Source organism: Homo sapiens, chromosome 4 (assembly GCF_000001405.40).
Source record: "Homo sapiens chromosome 4, GRCh38.p14 Primary Assembly".
Classification (NCBI taxonomy): domain Eukaryota; kingdom Metazoa; phylum Chordata; class Mammalia; order Primates; family Hominidae; genus Homo; species Homo sapiens.
In genome coordinates, this window is record NC_000004.12 from 128999527 (window position 1) to 129017436 (window position 17910).

Sequence of the window (17910 nt, forward strand, 5' to 3'; positions counted from 1 at the left end):
ATCTATATATTATTAACATAAATAATAAAGTGATTAGAAATTCTAAATGCTATAGGGTAGAGTCTTAAGCGTTCCCCTCTAAAACAGTTTCTTCAGAGTGCAATTTCTTATTGATATACAAGAAAATGATGAAATCCAAGATTACCTTTTGTTTTTGACTTTCAAATACATGAATCTGGGCCTCAGTCATATGTTCCTGGTAAAGCTTGTGTAGTCTGTCCAACTCCTGAGAAACAGTCTGCCAGAGTTCCACAGCCTGAGTTTTTTCCTATTAAAAAAGTTTGATAACTCATTAAATTATCAGCAGGCTATTTATTGTATAGTACAAATGGATCATTTTCTTTTATAGAATAAGTTCTTATAAAGTCATAAAATAAAATAGAACTGTGTAAAGATGGTATTATAGTTATATTTTTGATATGAAGTTTTATTATTAATAATTTAGAGAGTAAACTTGAAGACATAAAGTTCCTTATTTTGAAATTGTGGTTTTACTCAGATTTAGCTAAAATTAAAATCCTTAACAGAGATGTAGATTTAAACCATGTTCTTTGTTCCACAAGAAAGTATAAGCCCTAGAAACTGATGAAGAAGAAAACTGCCTCCTGGTAAAGTACAATATTTTTTTCCTGATCATAAAAGTAATAAATTTTCATTGTGGAAAATTAGGAAAATACAGAGAAAAACAGGAGAAAATCAGAATCACCTATAATTTTACTACCTGATAATAAATATTGCTAATATCTAGATAAATCATCTTTTTAAATGTTGATGCATTCATGTTTATAAATGTGATTCTGGGTGAGAATTTTGTAATTATTTTAACAAAATTAGGGACAATATAGTGGGCTATTTTTACTTGCCATTTTATAATGATTTTATAATTATAATTTTCTCAGGTCACTATTGTTTGCATACAGTATTATCTAAGTGTGGTACAGAAACTTTTAAACTTTGAAAGGTCCTAGAAGTCAAATTTATCTTCAGAATAATATGTTAACATTTTTCGCCTTTTTACTCTCATCCTCTCACAAATGTACAGTGAAGTTTTCTAAAGTTTATATGATGTGATGCCATCCTTGCTCTAAGGGCTAATGGACTACATGCTTATGCTCCTACTTTTTTTTTAAGTCTCAGTTTTAATTTGTAATACAATAAATACTGATAGATATGTAACCCACAAAAAACATAAGGCACCTTGGAGTACACTGAGGTATACCATGCATTCAGAAAATGAACAAATTGTACATTTTTATAAAGCAAGTGCGCTTATGTAACCAGCACCCAGTTCAAGAGAAAGAACATTACCATCACCTAGAAGCTGGACGACCCTCTTGTGATCTCTTCCAGTTACTATACTCTTCTCCTAAATAACCATTTCCTCGTGTTCCTAACACCATAGATTAGTTTTGTCTAAAACTTAAAAAAAAAAACAAAAACTGTAGGCTAATTAAAAATTTTAAAAGCGGTTTTAAAATTTGTAGATAAACACAGAATATGGAGCCAGAAGATATGGGTGTGATCTCTAATTCCTGGCTAAATAGTCCTGGATAATTCACTTCATTTCCTTAAGACTCAAGTTTTCTTTTCAGTAAAATGGTCGTAAAAATGCCTCATACCTCAAAATGTCCCACTGTTTCTCCAGACCTGTCTGACGACAAAAATCACCTAGACTAGTAGTTACACAACCCAGATTCTCCTAGAGCAGTGGTTCTTAAAGGATCAGCATCATCAGCAACACCTCAGAACTGTTAGAGATGTAAATTATTGAGCTCTTTCCCAGACTTCTTGAATCAGAAACTGGGGTGGTGGGGGGGTGGGGAGGCACAGCAGAAATCCATGTTTCAAAAAGCCCTCAAGTGATTATGATGTACACTATATAATTTTTAAAAATGGTACAACTTACTATTTGGACAAACTACAATTTAACTGATTCCATATTTAAGATTTTTAAACTATGTCAAATGTTTCATTACGATAAATATTATAATGAATATATTTATTCAAAAATTTTTATATTCAGTTCTTTAGAACAAATTCATAAAATCTATGTGGTGTCATCATCTAATTACTGGATCAAATAATGCAAACATTTCTAAGGCTCTTCTTCCAAACTGACTTCTAGAAAGATTTCTACAAATCATACTGTAACAGAAAAAATATTTTAAACTGAAAATATTAAGCTAGGTACTTAGCATTGTGCTATTGCTATTGGCTCCTAAAGCAACATATATACACTACACAGCACCTTTTGTACATAATTTTAATTCTTATTTGTGAGTCTTGCTGTTCAATAATGATAATAATGATAAATAGGCAAATTTATTAACGTACATATGTGCTAGACATATAAGCCTAAATTAATTTCTATTTAATCCCATGAAATCAATTATAAATCTTTCCTAGTCTAGAACAAACAGCATGCTTTCCTCATTATTTCTTTCTTTCATCATATTTAAAAATTCTTTCCATTCATACATTAAAAAAAATTAGTGTTAAATACATGTTCCTTATCAAGCTAAATATAGCCTTTCTGACTTACCTAAAATATCACTTTCATAATTATAGAATTTTAAAACCAAATTTTCAGGAAATAAAACCGAATTTTCAGATAATTATCAAATCAAAATTGTAATTTAGAATTTGTAGCCCCCATTTATAAATGAGGAAACTGAGGCACAAGAGTTTTTTTCTATGATCACACACCTGGAAAGTAGAAGAATGGGGATTTAAACCCATACAAGATATGAAACATTTGGGATATAACACTGTAAATTTAAATACAATTCCCTTATGAATAAAATTCACAAAAAATTAGTTGAAAAACAGGATATATTTAACATAGCTGCTCAAAGATTCTAATTACTATGAGAGAAAAAGAAAAAGTATAATTCTAGAAGAAATATAATGTTAGAAAAATATAGTACTCTTAATATTCTGAAAACAATATCAGAAAAAAGAACACTGAAAAATACAAATTTAGAGAAATAATGGATTTTTTCCTTTAAAAATTTTCATTGACATTAAAATATTCTCTCTACAAAGAACTTAAACAAATTTACAAGAAAAAAACAAACCCATCAAGAAGTGGGCAAAGGAAATGAACAGACACTTCTCAAAAGAAGATATTTATGCAGGCAACAAACATATGAAAAAAAGCTCATTATTACTGGTCATTAGAGGAATGCAAATCAAAATGACAATAGAATACCATCTCATGCCAGTTAGAATGGTGATCATTAAAAAGTCAGGAAACAACAGGTGCTGGAGAGGACGTGGAGAAATAGGAACACTTTTACACTGTTGGTGGGAGTGTAAATTAGCTCAACCATTGTGGAAGACAGAGTGGCAATTCTTCAGGGATCTAGAACTAGAAATACCATTTGATCCAGCAATCCCATTACTGGGTATATACCCAAAGGATTATAAATCATTCTCCTATAAAGACACATGCACATGTATGTTTATTGCAGTACTATTCACAATAGCAAAGACTTGGAACCAACCCAAATGTCCATCAATGATAAACTGGATAAAGAAAATGTGGCACATATACACCATGGAATACTATGCAGCCATAAAAAAGGATGAGATCATGTCCTTTTCAGGGACATGGATGAAGCTGGAAACTATCATTCTCAGCAAACTAACACAGGAACAGAAAACCAAACACTGCATGTTCTCACTCATAAGTGGGAGTTAAACAATGAGAACACATGGACACAGGGAGGGGAACATCACACACCAGGGCCTGTTGTGGGGTTGAGGGCTAGGGGAGGGATAGCATTAGGAGAAATACCTAACATAGATGATGGGTTGATGGGTGCAGCAAACCACCATGGCATGTGATACCTATATAACAAACCTGCACGTTCTGCACATGTATCCTAGAACTTAAAGTATAATTAAAAAAAAAAAAAAGAAAAAGAAAAAAAAGAAAGAAAAAATATTCTCATAAGAAAAAAACTCACGTCAAAATCTTTATGATTTTAATTAAACACATTTGTAACAACCAGTGAGGGTATTTGGCAAGTACGTTTCTAACAGTGAGGGTATTTATTACAAGTGTTGCTACCTGTAACGATTCTTATAAACTGTAAAAAATCATAATGTTACAATTTTATTATTTTGTTATCCATAAATAATGATTAACATGAATTTTTAAAAAGGTATGTTAATTCAGAATATAATTTTTAAAAATACATGTCACTCACTTGATTGGCTAGCTGCAATTGTTCTTGAAGGTTTCTGACTGTTTCATCATCTGCATATATGTCAGTTCCTACCTCTGTGCCCAGGGGAAAGGCCTCCAATTTTTTTTCAACAGCATCTTTTAATTCACTGTGCAACCTTTGAAACAAATAGTTAACATGATAGCCTCAAGTCATTTTCGTAACAGTAATTACTGTTTCGAGGTCAATTAAACATTTGGGTCAACAATAACTCTTTAAACAAAATCATTTTTAAGTAGACTTCAAATAAAAAATTAGAAGTGTTTAATTACCATTAAATACTGTGCTATAAGAATCAAAAGATTATATAACAATTTCAATGCATTAAATCGATCACAATTAACTGAAGCATGATTCAGTTTGTCCTAGAGAGGTTTCAATTTTTCAAAAATTTTCAAAAGAGTAAAATTCAGATATTATCTCTTATTAAATGATAAAATAAGCCATTCAGAAAAATTCTAAAATATCTATGTATATCTAGTCAATTAAATGAAAATTATATATTAAATCCTGTAGAATTATTTGCTATTTTCTTCAGCGTGTTTCACCAAACTCACTGGACTTCTTACTAATTCCAGTTAACAAGCAAAGAGAAGAAAATGGTCGCTGGCTATAAAACCAAGACATCAGAAGCTTTATTTTTCAGCACATCCTTATATAAGATCAACAATAATACTGAAAGGCTTAAAATTGACTTTAATCTTAACATTAAGGTAAATTACAGATATTTCATGCCTTAACTACAAAAAAAAGCAAGGAAGGTACAACTTAAAAGAATGATTGTTTTAATTTAAAATAATACATACTTAAGAGAAAAAAAGTACATTTTCAGAAAACACTCTTATTTCATATAATCATAAGCAGAAAATATTTATAGTAAATACATTACAAAGTGAAAATAACAAAATAAACTACATCCATCTACCTAAAACATTTAGAGGTGAATGATTTACTAATATTACAAATCTCCTTTGAAACAAGAAAACTTAAATCTTGATGTCAAAACATATTTATTGAAAACAAAATTCATCAAATACAATAAAACTGAGAAGGTAAACACTTTAGAAACAAAAAAATTAATTACTCTGAAGAAAGGACAGAGCTTGAAAATTATTCTCTAATTAAAAAACTTACAAGTATTGGTTAAGACAGTTTTTATTTTTAAATATCTAACAGTGTTTTTAAAAACTTTTATTTTTCCTATATGAAATGTTTACCTAATAGAGAAAATGATCAGTATAGAAATATAACAAGTTTTAGAAAAGATACCCCAAGTCCTATGAAAAAAACCATTATTAATTCTGTAATATATTTTCTAGCAGAATTTTTACTTTCCATTAAAAATAGACCAATGACATACTGTATTGCTAATACTATAATCTGTCTTTTTAACCGTAGTATTCAGACATATGCATTCTCTCACATTCTAAAAAGTTTTCTGCAAATATTTTAAAGATGACATAATATTCCATCATTTTCATCATATGGTTATCTGCATCATAACTTATCAATTATCCTAATCCTTTAAATTGATTGTAAAATGAAATGAAAAAATAGTAAAATTAATATTTAGTACACTGTACTTTAAAATATCAGAAACACTGAGAATTAAAGTGTCTTATTTCTTTGTTACGCAGCCAAAAGACACATGAAAAAATGCTCATCATCACTGGCCATCAGAGAAATGCAAATCAAAACCACAATGAGATATCATCTCACACCAGTTAGAATGGCAATCATTAAAAAGCCAGGAAACAACAGGTGCTGGAGAGGATGTGGAGAAATAGGAACACCTTTACACTGTTGGTGGGACTGTAAACTAGTTCAACTATTGTGGAAGTCAGTGTGGCAATTCCTCAGGGATCTAGAACTAGAAATACCATTTGACCCAGCCATTGCATTACTGGGTATATACCCAAAGGACTATAAATCATGCTGCTATAAAGACACATGCACACGTATGTTTATTGCGGCATTATTCACAATAGCAAAGACTTGGAACCAACCCAAATGTCCAACAATGATAGACTGGATTAAGAAAATGTGGCACATATACACCATGGAATACTATGCAGCCATAAAAAATGATGAGTTCATGTCCTTTGTAGGGACATGGATGAAATTGGAAATCATCACTCTCAGTAAACTATCGCAAGGACAAAAAACCAAACACCGCATATTCTCACTCACAGATGGGAACTGAACAATGAGAACACATGGACACAGGAAGGGGAACATCACACTCTGGGGACTGTTGTGGGGTGGGGGGAGGGGGGAGGGATAGCATTAGGAGATATACCTAATGCTAAATGACAAGTTAATGGGTGCAGCACACCAGCATGGCACAGGTATACATATGTAACTAACCTGCACATTGTGCACATGTACCCTAAAACTTAAAGTATAATAAAAAAAATTCATTTAATAAAAAAATGTAGTTATAACAAGCAGTATAATTATAACTGACAGTAAGACAGTTTTTAGGGTCTTAAAATTTTTAGCCAGGTTCGGTGGCTCACACCTGTAATCCCAGCATTTTGGTAGGCCGAAGTGGGTGGATCACGAGGTCAGGAGTTCGAGACCAGCCTGGCCAATGTGGTGAAACCCCGTCTCTACTAAAAATACAAAAATTAGCCGGGCATGGTGGCGTGTGCCTGTAGTCCCAGCTACTCAGGAGGCTGAGGCAGAAGAATTGCTTGAACCCAGGAGGCGGAGGTTGCAGTGAGTCAAGATCAAGCCACTGTACTCCAGCCTGGGCGACAGAGCAAGACTCTGTCTCAAAAAAAAAAAAAAAAAATTTAAAGGTCACAGAAATATCGTAATTGTCCCCCATTGATTATTAAGATAATTTTGTACAGTTTCAGCTTGCAAGGTCATTTTTTTAATCTTACACTTCATACAAAGGAAGGACTACCTATACATAGTTTAATTTTGTTTGCTTCAGTATCTGGCATACTTGGGGAATAGATGTCCAATCTTGCGTTTCTAATGCTTGCTGTCTCTCACCGAGTGTGCTCTGTTCCCGAGGTGTTATATGATTTTGGGTTTAGATTGCTGTTCTTTTTCTAACCTCTTCAACAAATTCTAAGACATCATTATTTTTAGACTTTCTTTTCTAATACATACTCTTAAGATTACAGCTTTCCCTCTAAGAATCGCCTTAGTGGCAACGCCGACGTTATGTTATTTTCTTTATTAATCAGTTGAAAATATTTTCTAACTTCCATTGTGAGTTCTTTGACCTGTGAGTAACATTTAGAGGCATACTGCTTAACTTAGAAAAAGCTGAGGATTTTCTAGTTACCTTTTTATTATTGATTTCTAGCATAATTTTCACTGTCATCAAAGAACATAATCTGAATAATTTCAATCCTTTTATAATCTGAGAGTTGCTTTTTTTTTGAGTTGGTCAATTTCAGAAAACTATCACGTGTACTTAGAGAATGCATATTTTGAAGGTCTTCGGTATTAGTATTCTATATATGTCCCTTAAGAGATTTCTTAATTGCATTATTCAAATATTGCATCTTAACTTACTGTTTTTTTTTCTGGTTGCTATTTTATTTACTGAGAGCAACCTGCTCATATTTCCTATTATAATGGTGCATTTGTCTGTTCTGCCATTCAGTGCTATCACATTTTTGTATTCTGAGTCTTTGTTATTGAGTGCTTACACATTCAGAACTGTCATATCTTTTGGGCAAATATAATTTCGTATCATTATGGAAACCGCCTTTTAATCTGTAATCATCTGTTTCACATTAAATTCTACTATGTCTGATATTACCAGCATGTTTTCAGTTAGCACTTCCATGGTATACATATTTTCTATCCTTTTATTTTCACCCATTCTGTACTCTTGTATTTTACGAATCTCCTTGGTTAAAAGCATGTAATTGTGGGTTCATTTAGTTAATCTCTGGTAAATCACTCTTAAAATTATAGCATGTAGTACAGCAAAATTTAATGCAATTACTAAGGCATCTGGGTTTATATCTACTACCTTAGTATTTCCTATATGTCTTGACTTTAAAAAAACAAAACAAAACACCTCTCTTTTTGTTCCTATTCTTTCTTATTAACTGGAATTAATTACATTTTATTATTCCACTTTCCTGCTCCATGAGCTTGGAAGTGATAGAATCTTTTAGTTTACTGTAGTGCTCAGCCCAGACATCGTAACATGCCTCTGAGAATTGCCACCCTCTACTATAAATTAGTATCCTATTTCTAATGGATAATGTAAGCACCTGAGACTATCTCAACTCCATTTACACTCTTCCTAAATGTACGGTATTGCTGGCTCATATTTCAAGTCTCCTCAAACATTTTAAAGCCATTATTATTATTTTTAAAAGTTTATACTCGTTAGATTTTCTCCCATATTTACCCCTTCCATAGTTCCAAACTTTATTCTAGGATGATTTTTCCTTCTTTTTTGGGATTTGGATTAATTCTGTCAACGGTAATTTTCTCAGTTTTCATCTGAAAATGTACTTATTTAACCCTCCTTCTTGAAGAACATTTCGCTGAGCACACAATTCTTAGTTGACAGTTTTGGTTTCTTTTCTTTTCAGCACTTTGAAGATATTCCATGTCTCTCGATTTCTATCACATCTGTTGAAAAGTCAGTTATCTTACTGCTATTCCTTTGAGGATAATCTCTGTTGTGAGAATTTTTCTTTGATTTTGATTTTGTAGATGTTTTTGCATTATCATGCTTGTGATGCATGGTGTTTCTTTAATCCACAGATCTTTTGCTACTTTTGAAATTTTTCAGCTATTGTCTCTTCAAATATTATTTCTGTCTTTCCTGTTCTCTCTGGGATTCAAATTACACGAATTTTAGTTCTTTTCACTACCACATTTTGTTCCATATTTTCTTTTTAAATTTTTTTGAATTTATTTTTTACTTAACTTTTAAGTTCAGGGGTACATGTACAGGTTTGTTATATAGGTAAGCTTGTGTCACTGAGGTTTGTTGTACAGATTATTTTCAACCCAAGTATTAAGCCTAGTACTCATTATTCTTTTTCCTGATCCTCTCCCTCCTCCCAGCCTCCACCCATTGATAGGCCCCAGTGTGTGTAGTTTCTCTCTACATGTCCATGTGTTCTCATCATTTAGCTCCCACTTATAAGTGAGAACATGAAGTATTTGCTTTTCTGTTTCTCTGTTAGTTTGCTAAGGATAATCACCTCCAGCTCCATCTATGTTCCTGCAAAGGACGTGATCTTGTTCTTTTTTATGGATGCATAGTATTCCATTGTATATATGTACCATATTTTCTTTATCCAGTCCACTGTTGATGGGCATCTAGGTTGATCTATGTCTTTGTCATTGTGAATAACTGTTCCGATGAACATGTGAGTGCATGTGTCTTTATGGTAGAATGATTTCTATTACTTCGTTATATATCCAGTGATGGGATTGCTGGGTTAAATGGCACTTCTGTTTTGAGTTCTTTGAGATCCAAGCCGGGCGCGGTGGCTCACGCCTATAATCCCAGCACTTTGGGAGGCCAAGGCAGGCAGATCATGAGGCAGATAGAGACCATCCTGGCTAACATGGTGAAATCCCATCTCTACTAAATAAATAAAAAAAAATTAGCCAGGCATGGTGGTGGGCACCTGTAGTCCCAGCTACTTGGGAGGCTGAGGCAGGAGAATGGTGTGAACCCAGGAGGCGGAGCTTGCAGTGAGCTGAGATCGCGCCACTGCACTCCAGCCTGGGCGACAGAGTGAGACTCTGTCTCAAAAAGAAAAAAAAAAAAAAAAGAATCCAAACTGCTTTCCACTAGTGGCTGAACTAGTTTCTGTTTCTACCAGCAGTGTAAAAGCATTCCCTTTTCTCTGCAACCATAACAGCATCTGTTATTTTTTGATGTTTTAACAGCCATTCTGACTGGCGTGAGATGGTATCTCATTGTGGTTTTGATTTGCATTTCTCTAATTAAGTTGAGCTTTTTTTCATATGGTTATTGGCCACATGTATGTCTTCTTTTGAAAGGTGTTCAAGTGCTTTGCCCATTTTTCAATAAGGTTTGATTTTTATTGTAAATTTAAGTTCCTTATAGATGCTGGATATTTGACCTTTGTCAGATGCAGTTTGCAAAAATGTTCCCCCACTTTGTATGTTGTCTGTGCACTCTGTTGATAGTTTCTTTTGCTGTGCAGGAGCTCTTTAGTTTAATTAGATCCCATTTGTCAATGTTTGCTTTTATTGCAATTGCTTTTGGTATCTTCTTAATAAAATCTTTGCCCACTCCTATGTCCAGAATGGTATTGCCTAAGTTGTCTTCCAGGGTTTTTATACTTTGGGGTTTTACATTTAAGTTTTTAATCCATCTTAAGTTAATGTTTGTTAATCTTCTGCACATGGCTAGCCAGTTATCTCAGCACCATTTATTGAATAGGAGTCCTTTCCCCATTGCTTGAGTTAGGTTTGTCGAGAATCAGATAGTTGTAGGTGTGTGGCTTTATTTCTGGGTTCTCTATTCTGTTGCAATGGTCTATGTGCCCGTTTTTGTACCAGTAGCATGCTGTTTTGGTTACTGTAGCCCTGCAGTATAGTTTGAAGTCAGGCAGCATGATGTCTCCAGCTTTCTTATTTTTGCTTAGGATTACCTTGGCTATCTGGACTCTTTTTTCGTTCCACATGAATTTTAAAATAGTTTTTTCTAGTTCTGTGAAGAATCTCAATGGTAGTTTAATAGGAATAGCATTAGATGTATAAATTGCTCTGGGCAGTATGACCATTTTTACAATATTGATGCTTTCTATCCATGAGCATGGAACATTTTTTCATTTGTTTGTGTAATCTTTGATTTCTTTGAGCAGTATTTTGTGCTTCTTGTAGAGAGATCTTTCACCTTCCTAGTTAGCTGTATTCCTAGGTAGTTTGTGTGTTTATTTATTTATTACAACTGGGAATGGGATTGCGTTACTCATTTGGCTCTTGGCTTGACTGTTTTTTTGTGTACAGGAGTGCTAGTAATTTTTACACATTGATTTTGTATCCTGAGAATTTGCTGAAGTTGTTTGTCAGTTTAAGAAGCTTTTATGCCAAGACTATGAAGTTTTATAGATATAGAATCCTGCCATCTGCAAATACGGATAGTTTGACTTCCTCTCTTCCTATTTGGATTACATTTCTTCCTCTTGCCTGACTGCCCTGGCCAGGACTTCCAATACTATGTCAAATAGGAGTGGCGAGAAAGGGCATCCTTGTCTTGTGCCAGTTTTCAGGAAGAATGTTTCCAGGTTTTGCACATTCCATATGATGCTGGCTGTGAGTTTTTCATAGATGACTCTTACTATTTTGAAGTATGTTCCTTCAATACCTAGCTTATTGAGACTTTTTGACATGAAGAATGTTAAATTTTAATGAAAGCCTTTTCTGCTTCATTTCAGATAATCATGTAGTTTTTGTCTTTAGTTCTGTTTATGTGATGAATCACATTTATTGATTTGCATATGATGAACCAACCTTGCATCCCAGGGCTAAAGCCTATTTGATCATGGTAGATAAGATTTTTGCTGTGCTGCTGGATTTCATTTGCCAGTATTTTGTTGAGGATTTTTGTCTCTATGTTCATCAGGGATATTGGCCTGAAGTTTTCTTTTTTGTTGTATCTTTGTTAGGTTTTGGTATCAGGATGATGTTGGCCTCATAAAATGAGTTTTATGGTCTGTTGCATTGGTCTATGTGCCTGTTTTTGTACCAGTACCATGCTGTTTTGGTTACTGTAGCCCTGAAGTATAGTTTGAAGTTGGGCAGTGTGATGTCCCCAGCTTTCTTCTTTTTGCTTAGGAATACCTAAGCATTTTTTTTTTGGAATAGTTTCAGTAGAAGTGGTACCAGCTCTTTGTATATTTGGTAGAATTTGGCTGTGAACTTATCTGGTCCTGGGCTTTTTTGGTTCATAGGCTATTTATTACTGCCTCAATTTCAGAACTCATTACTGGTCTGTTCAGTAATTCAATTTCCTCCTGGTTTAGTCTTAGGAGGGTGTATGTGTCTAGAAATTCATCCATTTCTTCTAGATATTCTAGTTTATGTGCATAGAGGTGTTCATAATATTATTTGATGGTTGTTTGTATTTCTGTGGGGTCAGTGGTAACATCTCCTTGTCATTTCTGATTGTGTTTATTTGAATCTTCTCTCTTTTCTTCTTTATTAGTCTAGCTAATGGTCTATTTTATTAATTTTTCCAAAAAACCAGCTTCTGTGTTCTTTGATCTTCTGGATGTTTTTTTGTGTCTGAATCTCCCTCAGTTCAGCTCTGATTTTGGTTATTTCTTGTCTTTTGCTAGCTTTGGAATTTGTTTGCTCTTGGTTCTGTAGTTCTTTTAGTTGTGATGTTAGGTTGTTAACTTGAGATCTTTCTAACTTTTTGATGTGAGCACTTAGTGCTATAAATTCCCTCTTAACACTGCCTTAGCTGTGTCCCAGAGATTCTGGTATGTTGTATCTTTGTTCTCATTAGTTTCAAAGAACTTGATTTCTGCCTTAATTTCATTATTTACCCAAACGTCATTCAGGAGTAGGTTATTCAACTTCCATGTAATTGTATGGTTTTGAGCAAATTTCTGTTTTGGCTTCTAATTTGTGCTGTGGTTTGAGAGATTGTTATGATTTCTGTTCTTTTGCATTTGCTGAGGAGTGTTTTACTTCTGATTACGTGATTGATTTTAGAACATGTGCCATGTGGTGATGAGAAGAATGTATATTCTGTTGTTTTTGGATGGAGAGTTATATAGATGTCTCTCAGGTCCATTTGATCCACTGTTGGGTTCAGGTCCTGAATATCTTTGTTAATTTTCTCTCTTGATGATTGGTCTAATATTTTCAGTGTGGTGTTAAAGACTTCCACTACTATTGTATGGGAGTCTATGTCTCTTTGAAGGTCTCTAAAAACTTGCTTTACAAATCTGCGTGCTCCTGTGTTGGGTACATATATATTTAGGATAGTTAGATCTTCTTGTTGAATTGAATTGAACCTTTTACCATTATGTAATGCCATTTCTTTTTTTTTTTTGCTCTTTTTGGCTTTTGTCAGAAACTAGGATCGTAACCCCTACTTTTTTTCTGTTTTCCATTTGCTTAGTAAATCTTCCTCCATCCTTTTGAGTCCATGTTTGTCACTGCATGTGAGATAGGACTCTTAAAGACAGCATACCAACGGGTTTTGCTTCTTTATTCAGTTTGCCATTCTGTGTCTTTTTTTGCTTTTTAACTTTTATTTTAGTTTTGGGGTACATGTGAAGGTTTGTTACATAGGTAAATGGATGTCACAGGGGTTTGTTGTACATATTATTTCATTACCCAGGTATTAAGCCCAGTATCCAGTAGTTATCTTTTCTGCTCCTCTCCCTCCTCCCACCCTCTCCTTTCAAGTAGATCCCAGTGTCTGTTGTTTCCCTCTTTGTGCTTGTAAGTTCTTACCATTTAGCTCCCACTTATAAGTGAGAACACGCGGTATTTGGTTTTCTGTTCCTGCGTTAGTTTGCTAAGGTTGTGCCTTTTAATTGAGGCATTTAGCCCATTTACATTCAAGGTTGGTATTGATATGTATGGATTTGATCCTGTCATCGTGTCAGCTGGTTATTTTGCAGACTTGTTTATGTGGTTGCTTTACAGTGTCACTGGTCTGTGTACTTCAGTGTATTTTTGTAGTGGGTGATAATGATCTTTCCTTTCTGTATTTAGTGCTACCTTCAGGTGCTCTTGTAAGGCAGGTCTGGTAGTAATGAAATTCCTCAGCATTTGCTTGCCTGAAAATGATCTTATTTCTCCTTCGCTTATGAAGTTTGGTTTGGCTGGATATTAAATTCTGGCTTGGAATTTCTTTTGAGAATGTTGACCATTGGCCCCCAATTGCTTCTGGCTTGTAGGGTTTCTGCTGAGAGGTCTGCTCTTAGTCTAATGATCTTCCCTTTGTAGGTGACCTCATCTTTCTCTCTAAGATGTCTTTAAAATTTTTTGTTTCATTTTGACCTTGTAAAATCTGATGATTATGTGTCTTGCGGATGATCTTCTTCTAACTTATCTAACTAGGGTTCTCTACATTTCCTGAATTTGAATGTTACCCTCTCAAGCTAGGTTGGGTAAGTTCTAATGGATGGTATTCTGAAATGTGTTTTCCAAGTTGCTTCCCTTCTCCCCATGTCTTTCAGGGATGCCTATGAGTCATAGATTTGGTCTCTTTACATAATCCCATATTTCTTGGAGGTTTTGTTCACTCCTTTTCATTCTTTTATTTCTATTCTTGTCTGATTGTCTTGTTTCAGAAATCCAGTCTTCAAACTCTGAGATTCTTTCCTCCACTTGATCTATTCTGCTTTTAATACTTGTGATTGCATTATAAAATTATTGTAGTGTCTTTTTCAGTTCTATCAGGTCAGTTGGTTTTTTTCTATACTGGCTATTTTTGCTGGGCAGCTCCTGCATTGTTTTATCATCGTTCTTAGCTTCCTTGGATGGGTTTCAACATACTCCTGTAGCTCAATGATCTTCGTTTCATGCATATTCTGATTTCTATTTCTGTCATTTGTAGCCATCTTAGTCCAGTTCTGAACCCTTTCTGTATAGGCAATGGGGTAGATTAGAGGAAAAAAGGCACTGTGGCTTTTTGAGTTGTCAGGATTCTTGCACTGATTCTTTCTCATCTTTGTGGGTTTATCCACCTTCAATCTTTGAGGCTGCTGACCTTTCGAGGCTTTTGTTCTCTTTTATCCTATTTGATGACCTTGAGGGTTTGATTATCATATAGGGTAGATTTAGCTGACTGGCTTCATTTCTGAAAGACATTAGGGGACCAATGCTCAGCTCCTGACTTCTGGACTGTATGCTCTAACCCTGGGGATTTGTATTGGGCCCTGACATTGTTCTCTCACTCCATGAGGTTAGAAATCCACTGTGCTGCGAGCACCAGGTGCTTCTGGACCACTGGTCACTACATTCCAATGTGTAGTGTCAGCCAAAGTGTTTCATAGTGCAGTGACAGAGGGATCTGTCCTCATTCACATGTGCCAGCAATAGCAGTAGCAGCAGCTGTGGCAGAGTGCTAGTGGCTGCTGGGGTGCCTGCCTCCCTGTGGGAATTAACCACAGTGGCAGAGGCAACTCATCTGGGATGGGTGTGGGGGGCCCCTACTGGTGACTACGTGGGTGGTCGTGCAGGTGGTGGTGCTGGCTTCAGGGAGGGGCACTGGTAGGCACAGGTCTGTGTGCCTTCTCTGTGGTAGCTCAGTGTGGGGGAGGATCTGCTGTTCTCTGAGCCTAGTTTTTCTCCCATGGAAGTATTAGTGCAACAGTGGAGTGCTGGCAGGGTGGGACTGGCTGGCTCTGTTCCCACCAAGGCTCTGTCTGCAATGGTGGTCAGCTACCAGAGGGGAGTGGACTACACTCCCATGTGCTAGTGGGGCAAGGAAAGCAAAACCTGCCCGCACAGACATGTATCAGCAAAGAGATGTGGGGAGTTGCCATGGGTCCAGGGGTGGCTGCAGTGTGTGGAGGGAGTGTGCAGGCTAGTGTATGGTTATTGGGACCACTCTGCTGGAGATCTCTGCAAGTCAGGCACGGTCCACTAGCACACAAGCTATGATGTGGCTCCCAGGGCACCTGAGGCTGTTCTTTAAGCAGGCATGGCCAGGCTGGGGCCCCAGGAGAGGGCAGCAGACCAAGGGGAGCTCAAGTTGGACTGGCCCTATCTGAGCTGGGGCAAGTCCACCCTGCAGAGTTCAGGATGAACAGTTCCCCTAGGGCTTAAGTCTCCTAAGAGAGCAAGTTGAGCCTAAGGAAATGGCTGTCCCTGGCCATGCTCCACTACATATGCTCCTGCACCAAACCCTCTGGGATCCACATGAGCTGGCTTGCTGCCCCTACCACTTCTCTAGGAATCTCTCCCTGCCAACTCAAGTGTCTACGATGGTTGAAGGGTCTCTCTCCTCCTGCTAGGGTTCCAGAGGCCCATGCTCCTTGAAAATTCAACTCACCCATTCCCCCGGAGCCACCAGAGACCAGGAATGAGTCCAGTTTTCTCCCACTTCATTCCAGCTTCTGTGTCTTCCCTCCATCCACTCTCAGTGCCTTCCTTCTGAGAATCTGTTAGGAGTACGCCAGTCATCTCCATCCATCAGTGGCAGCTGCTCCACCTAGCTGCATCTAGTTGGCTATCATACAGGTTTATATTTTCTATCTTCTTGTCTCTCTGCTTCTTACTGATATTCAGTTAAAATATTTCTTCTAAATTAAGTTGCACTTGATTAATTATCTTGTTATGTCTCATTTCCATTGTATTTTTTCAGTTCTAGAATGTTTTTTTTTAGAGTTTCTAGTTCTCTTACAAAATTCTCAATATTGTATCTTATTTCACTGACCATATTAAGCAAAATTATTTATTATTTTAGTTTTATCTTATTTTAAGATCTGGGATACACACGCAGGATGTGCAGGTTTGTTACACAGGTAAATGTGTGCCATGGTGGTTTGCTGCACCTATCAACTATCACCTAGGTATTAAGCCCTACATGCATTAACTATTTATCCTGATGCTTTCCTCCCCCATCCCCCCATACAGGCCCCAGTGTGTTGTTCTGCTCCCTGTGTCCATGTATTCTCATTGTTCAGCTCCCACTTATGAGTGAGAACACGTGGTGTTTAGTTTTCTGTTGGTAAAGCAGTTTTTTAAAGGCCAACCCTGTGGATCTGTTTTTACTGCCTATTATTTCTAATGATTCTTTTAAAATGTTACCATGTTAGCGTCAATCTTCCTGTTCCTAATTCTTTTTGTGCTAGATATGAGCTAGATATTATACATTTAAAAGTACAGTGGCATTTTGAGGATCCTAACACACCTATCCACAAGTGTGATGGATGCTGAATTTCAATTTTTATTGTTCTAGCTCTGTAAATTTGTTTCAAGCTCACCTCAGTTTTTAAACCTCTCTCCATCTCTTCTTGGATAGTGACATGCAATTAGGGAAAGCAGCCCCAAATGCCGGCTTATATCCCTGGATTTCTTTCTATTCCTGGCCTTTGCCTTATAAGTTTTTCACAGATTCCAATTTCTTTAAACAGATTCGATTTTTGTTAAGATTTTGTCAAGATTTTATAGTTTTGTCTGAACTTTCTAGTTTTTCTCAGAAGAAGCCTGATTACAGTACCTACTCTGTCATTAATGTAAACAATATTGATTTATTTATTTTCAATTTTACTTTTCTATTAGTTAAAAATGACAAAGTGTTCTGCATACCATTTTGGCTGCACCTTACTAGTTTGATATGCTGCTCATTTTAAGTAGTTTTTAATTTTAGTTGTCAATTCATTTTTTTAATCTCAGGAGTTACTTGAAAATATAGCTTAAAAATTTTTATGTGCTCATCTTTTGTCATTTTTTATTTTATTGCAGATGAAATTTATGTGTTTTTTTGTGGGGGGGGAATTTGTATGTGTGTATGTGGTAGGGAGGGTTTTCAGTGCATATCTATGTTTGTGAGTTTTTCATGGGTCTTTGAAAAACAAAGTATATTCCTGTTGGTTAATATATGAGTGTGTATAAACAGAAATGTACATGTACATAATCAAACTTGTTATTTGCTCCTTATATCATCTATCTTTGCTTATTTTCTTGTTTTCTTTTAAATATAACAGTTGTAATAATATATTTGTAAATA

General features: G+C 35.5%; 1 protein-coding gene across 12 annotated transcripts in view; it reads right to left on the reverse strand.

The window, feature by feature from the left end:
- SCLT1 (sodium channel and clathrin linker 1) overlaps positions 1-17910 on the reverse strand; it is a 220299-nt gene that overhangs the window by 126286 nt on the left and 76103 nt on the right. For all 12 annotated transcript variants that reach the window (XM_047449590.1, XM_017007717.3, NM_144643.4 and 9 more), the window contains exons 6-7: positions 4215-4350; positions 146-268 (exon numbers count right to left, since the gene is read on the reverse strand). In XM_047449590.1, coding sequence (XP_047305546.1) covers positions 146-268; positions 4215-4350 — 259 coding nt within the window. The remainder of the gene's footprint in view (positions 1-145; positions 269-4214; positions 4351-17910) is intronic.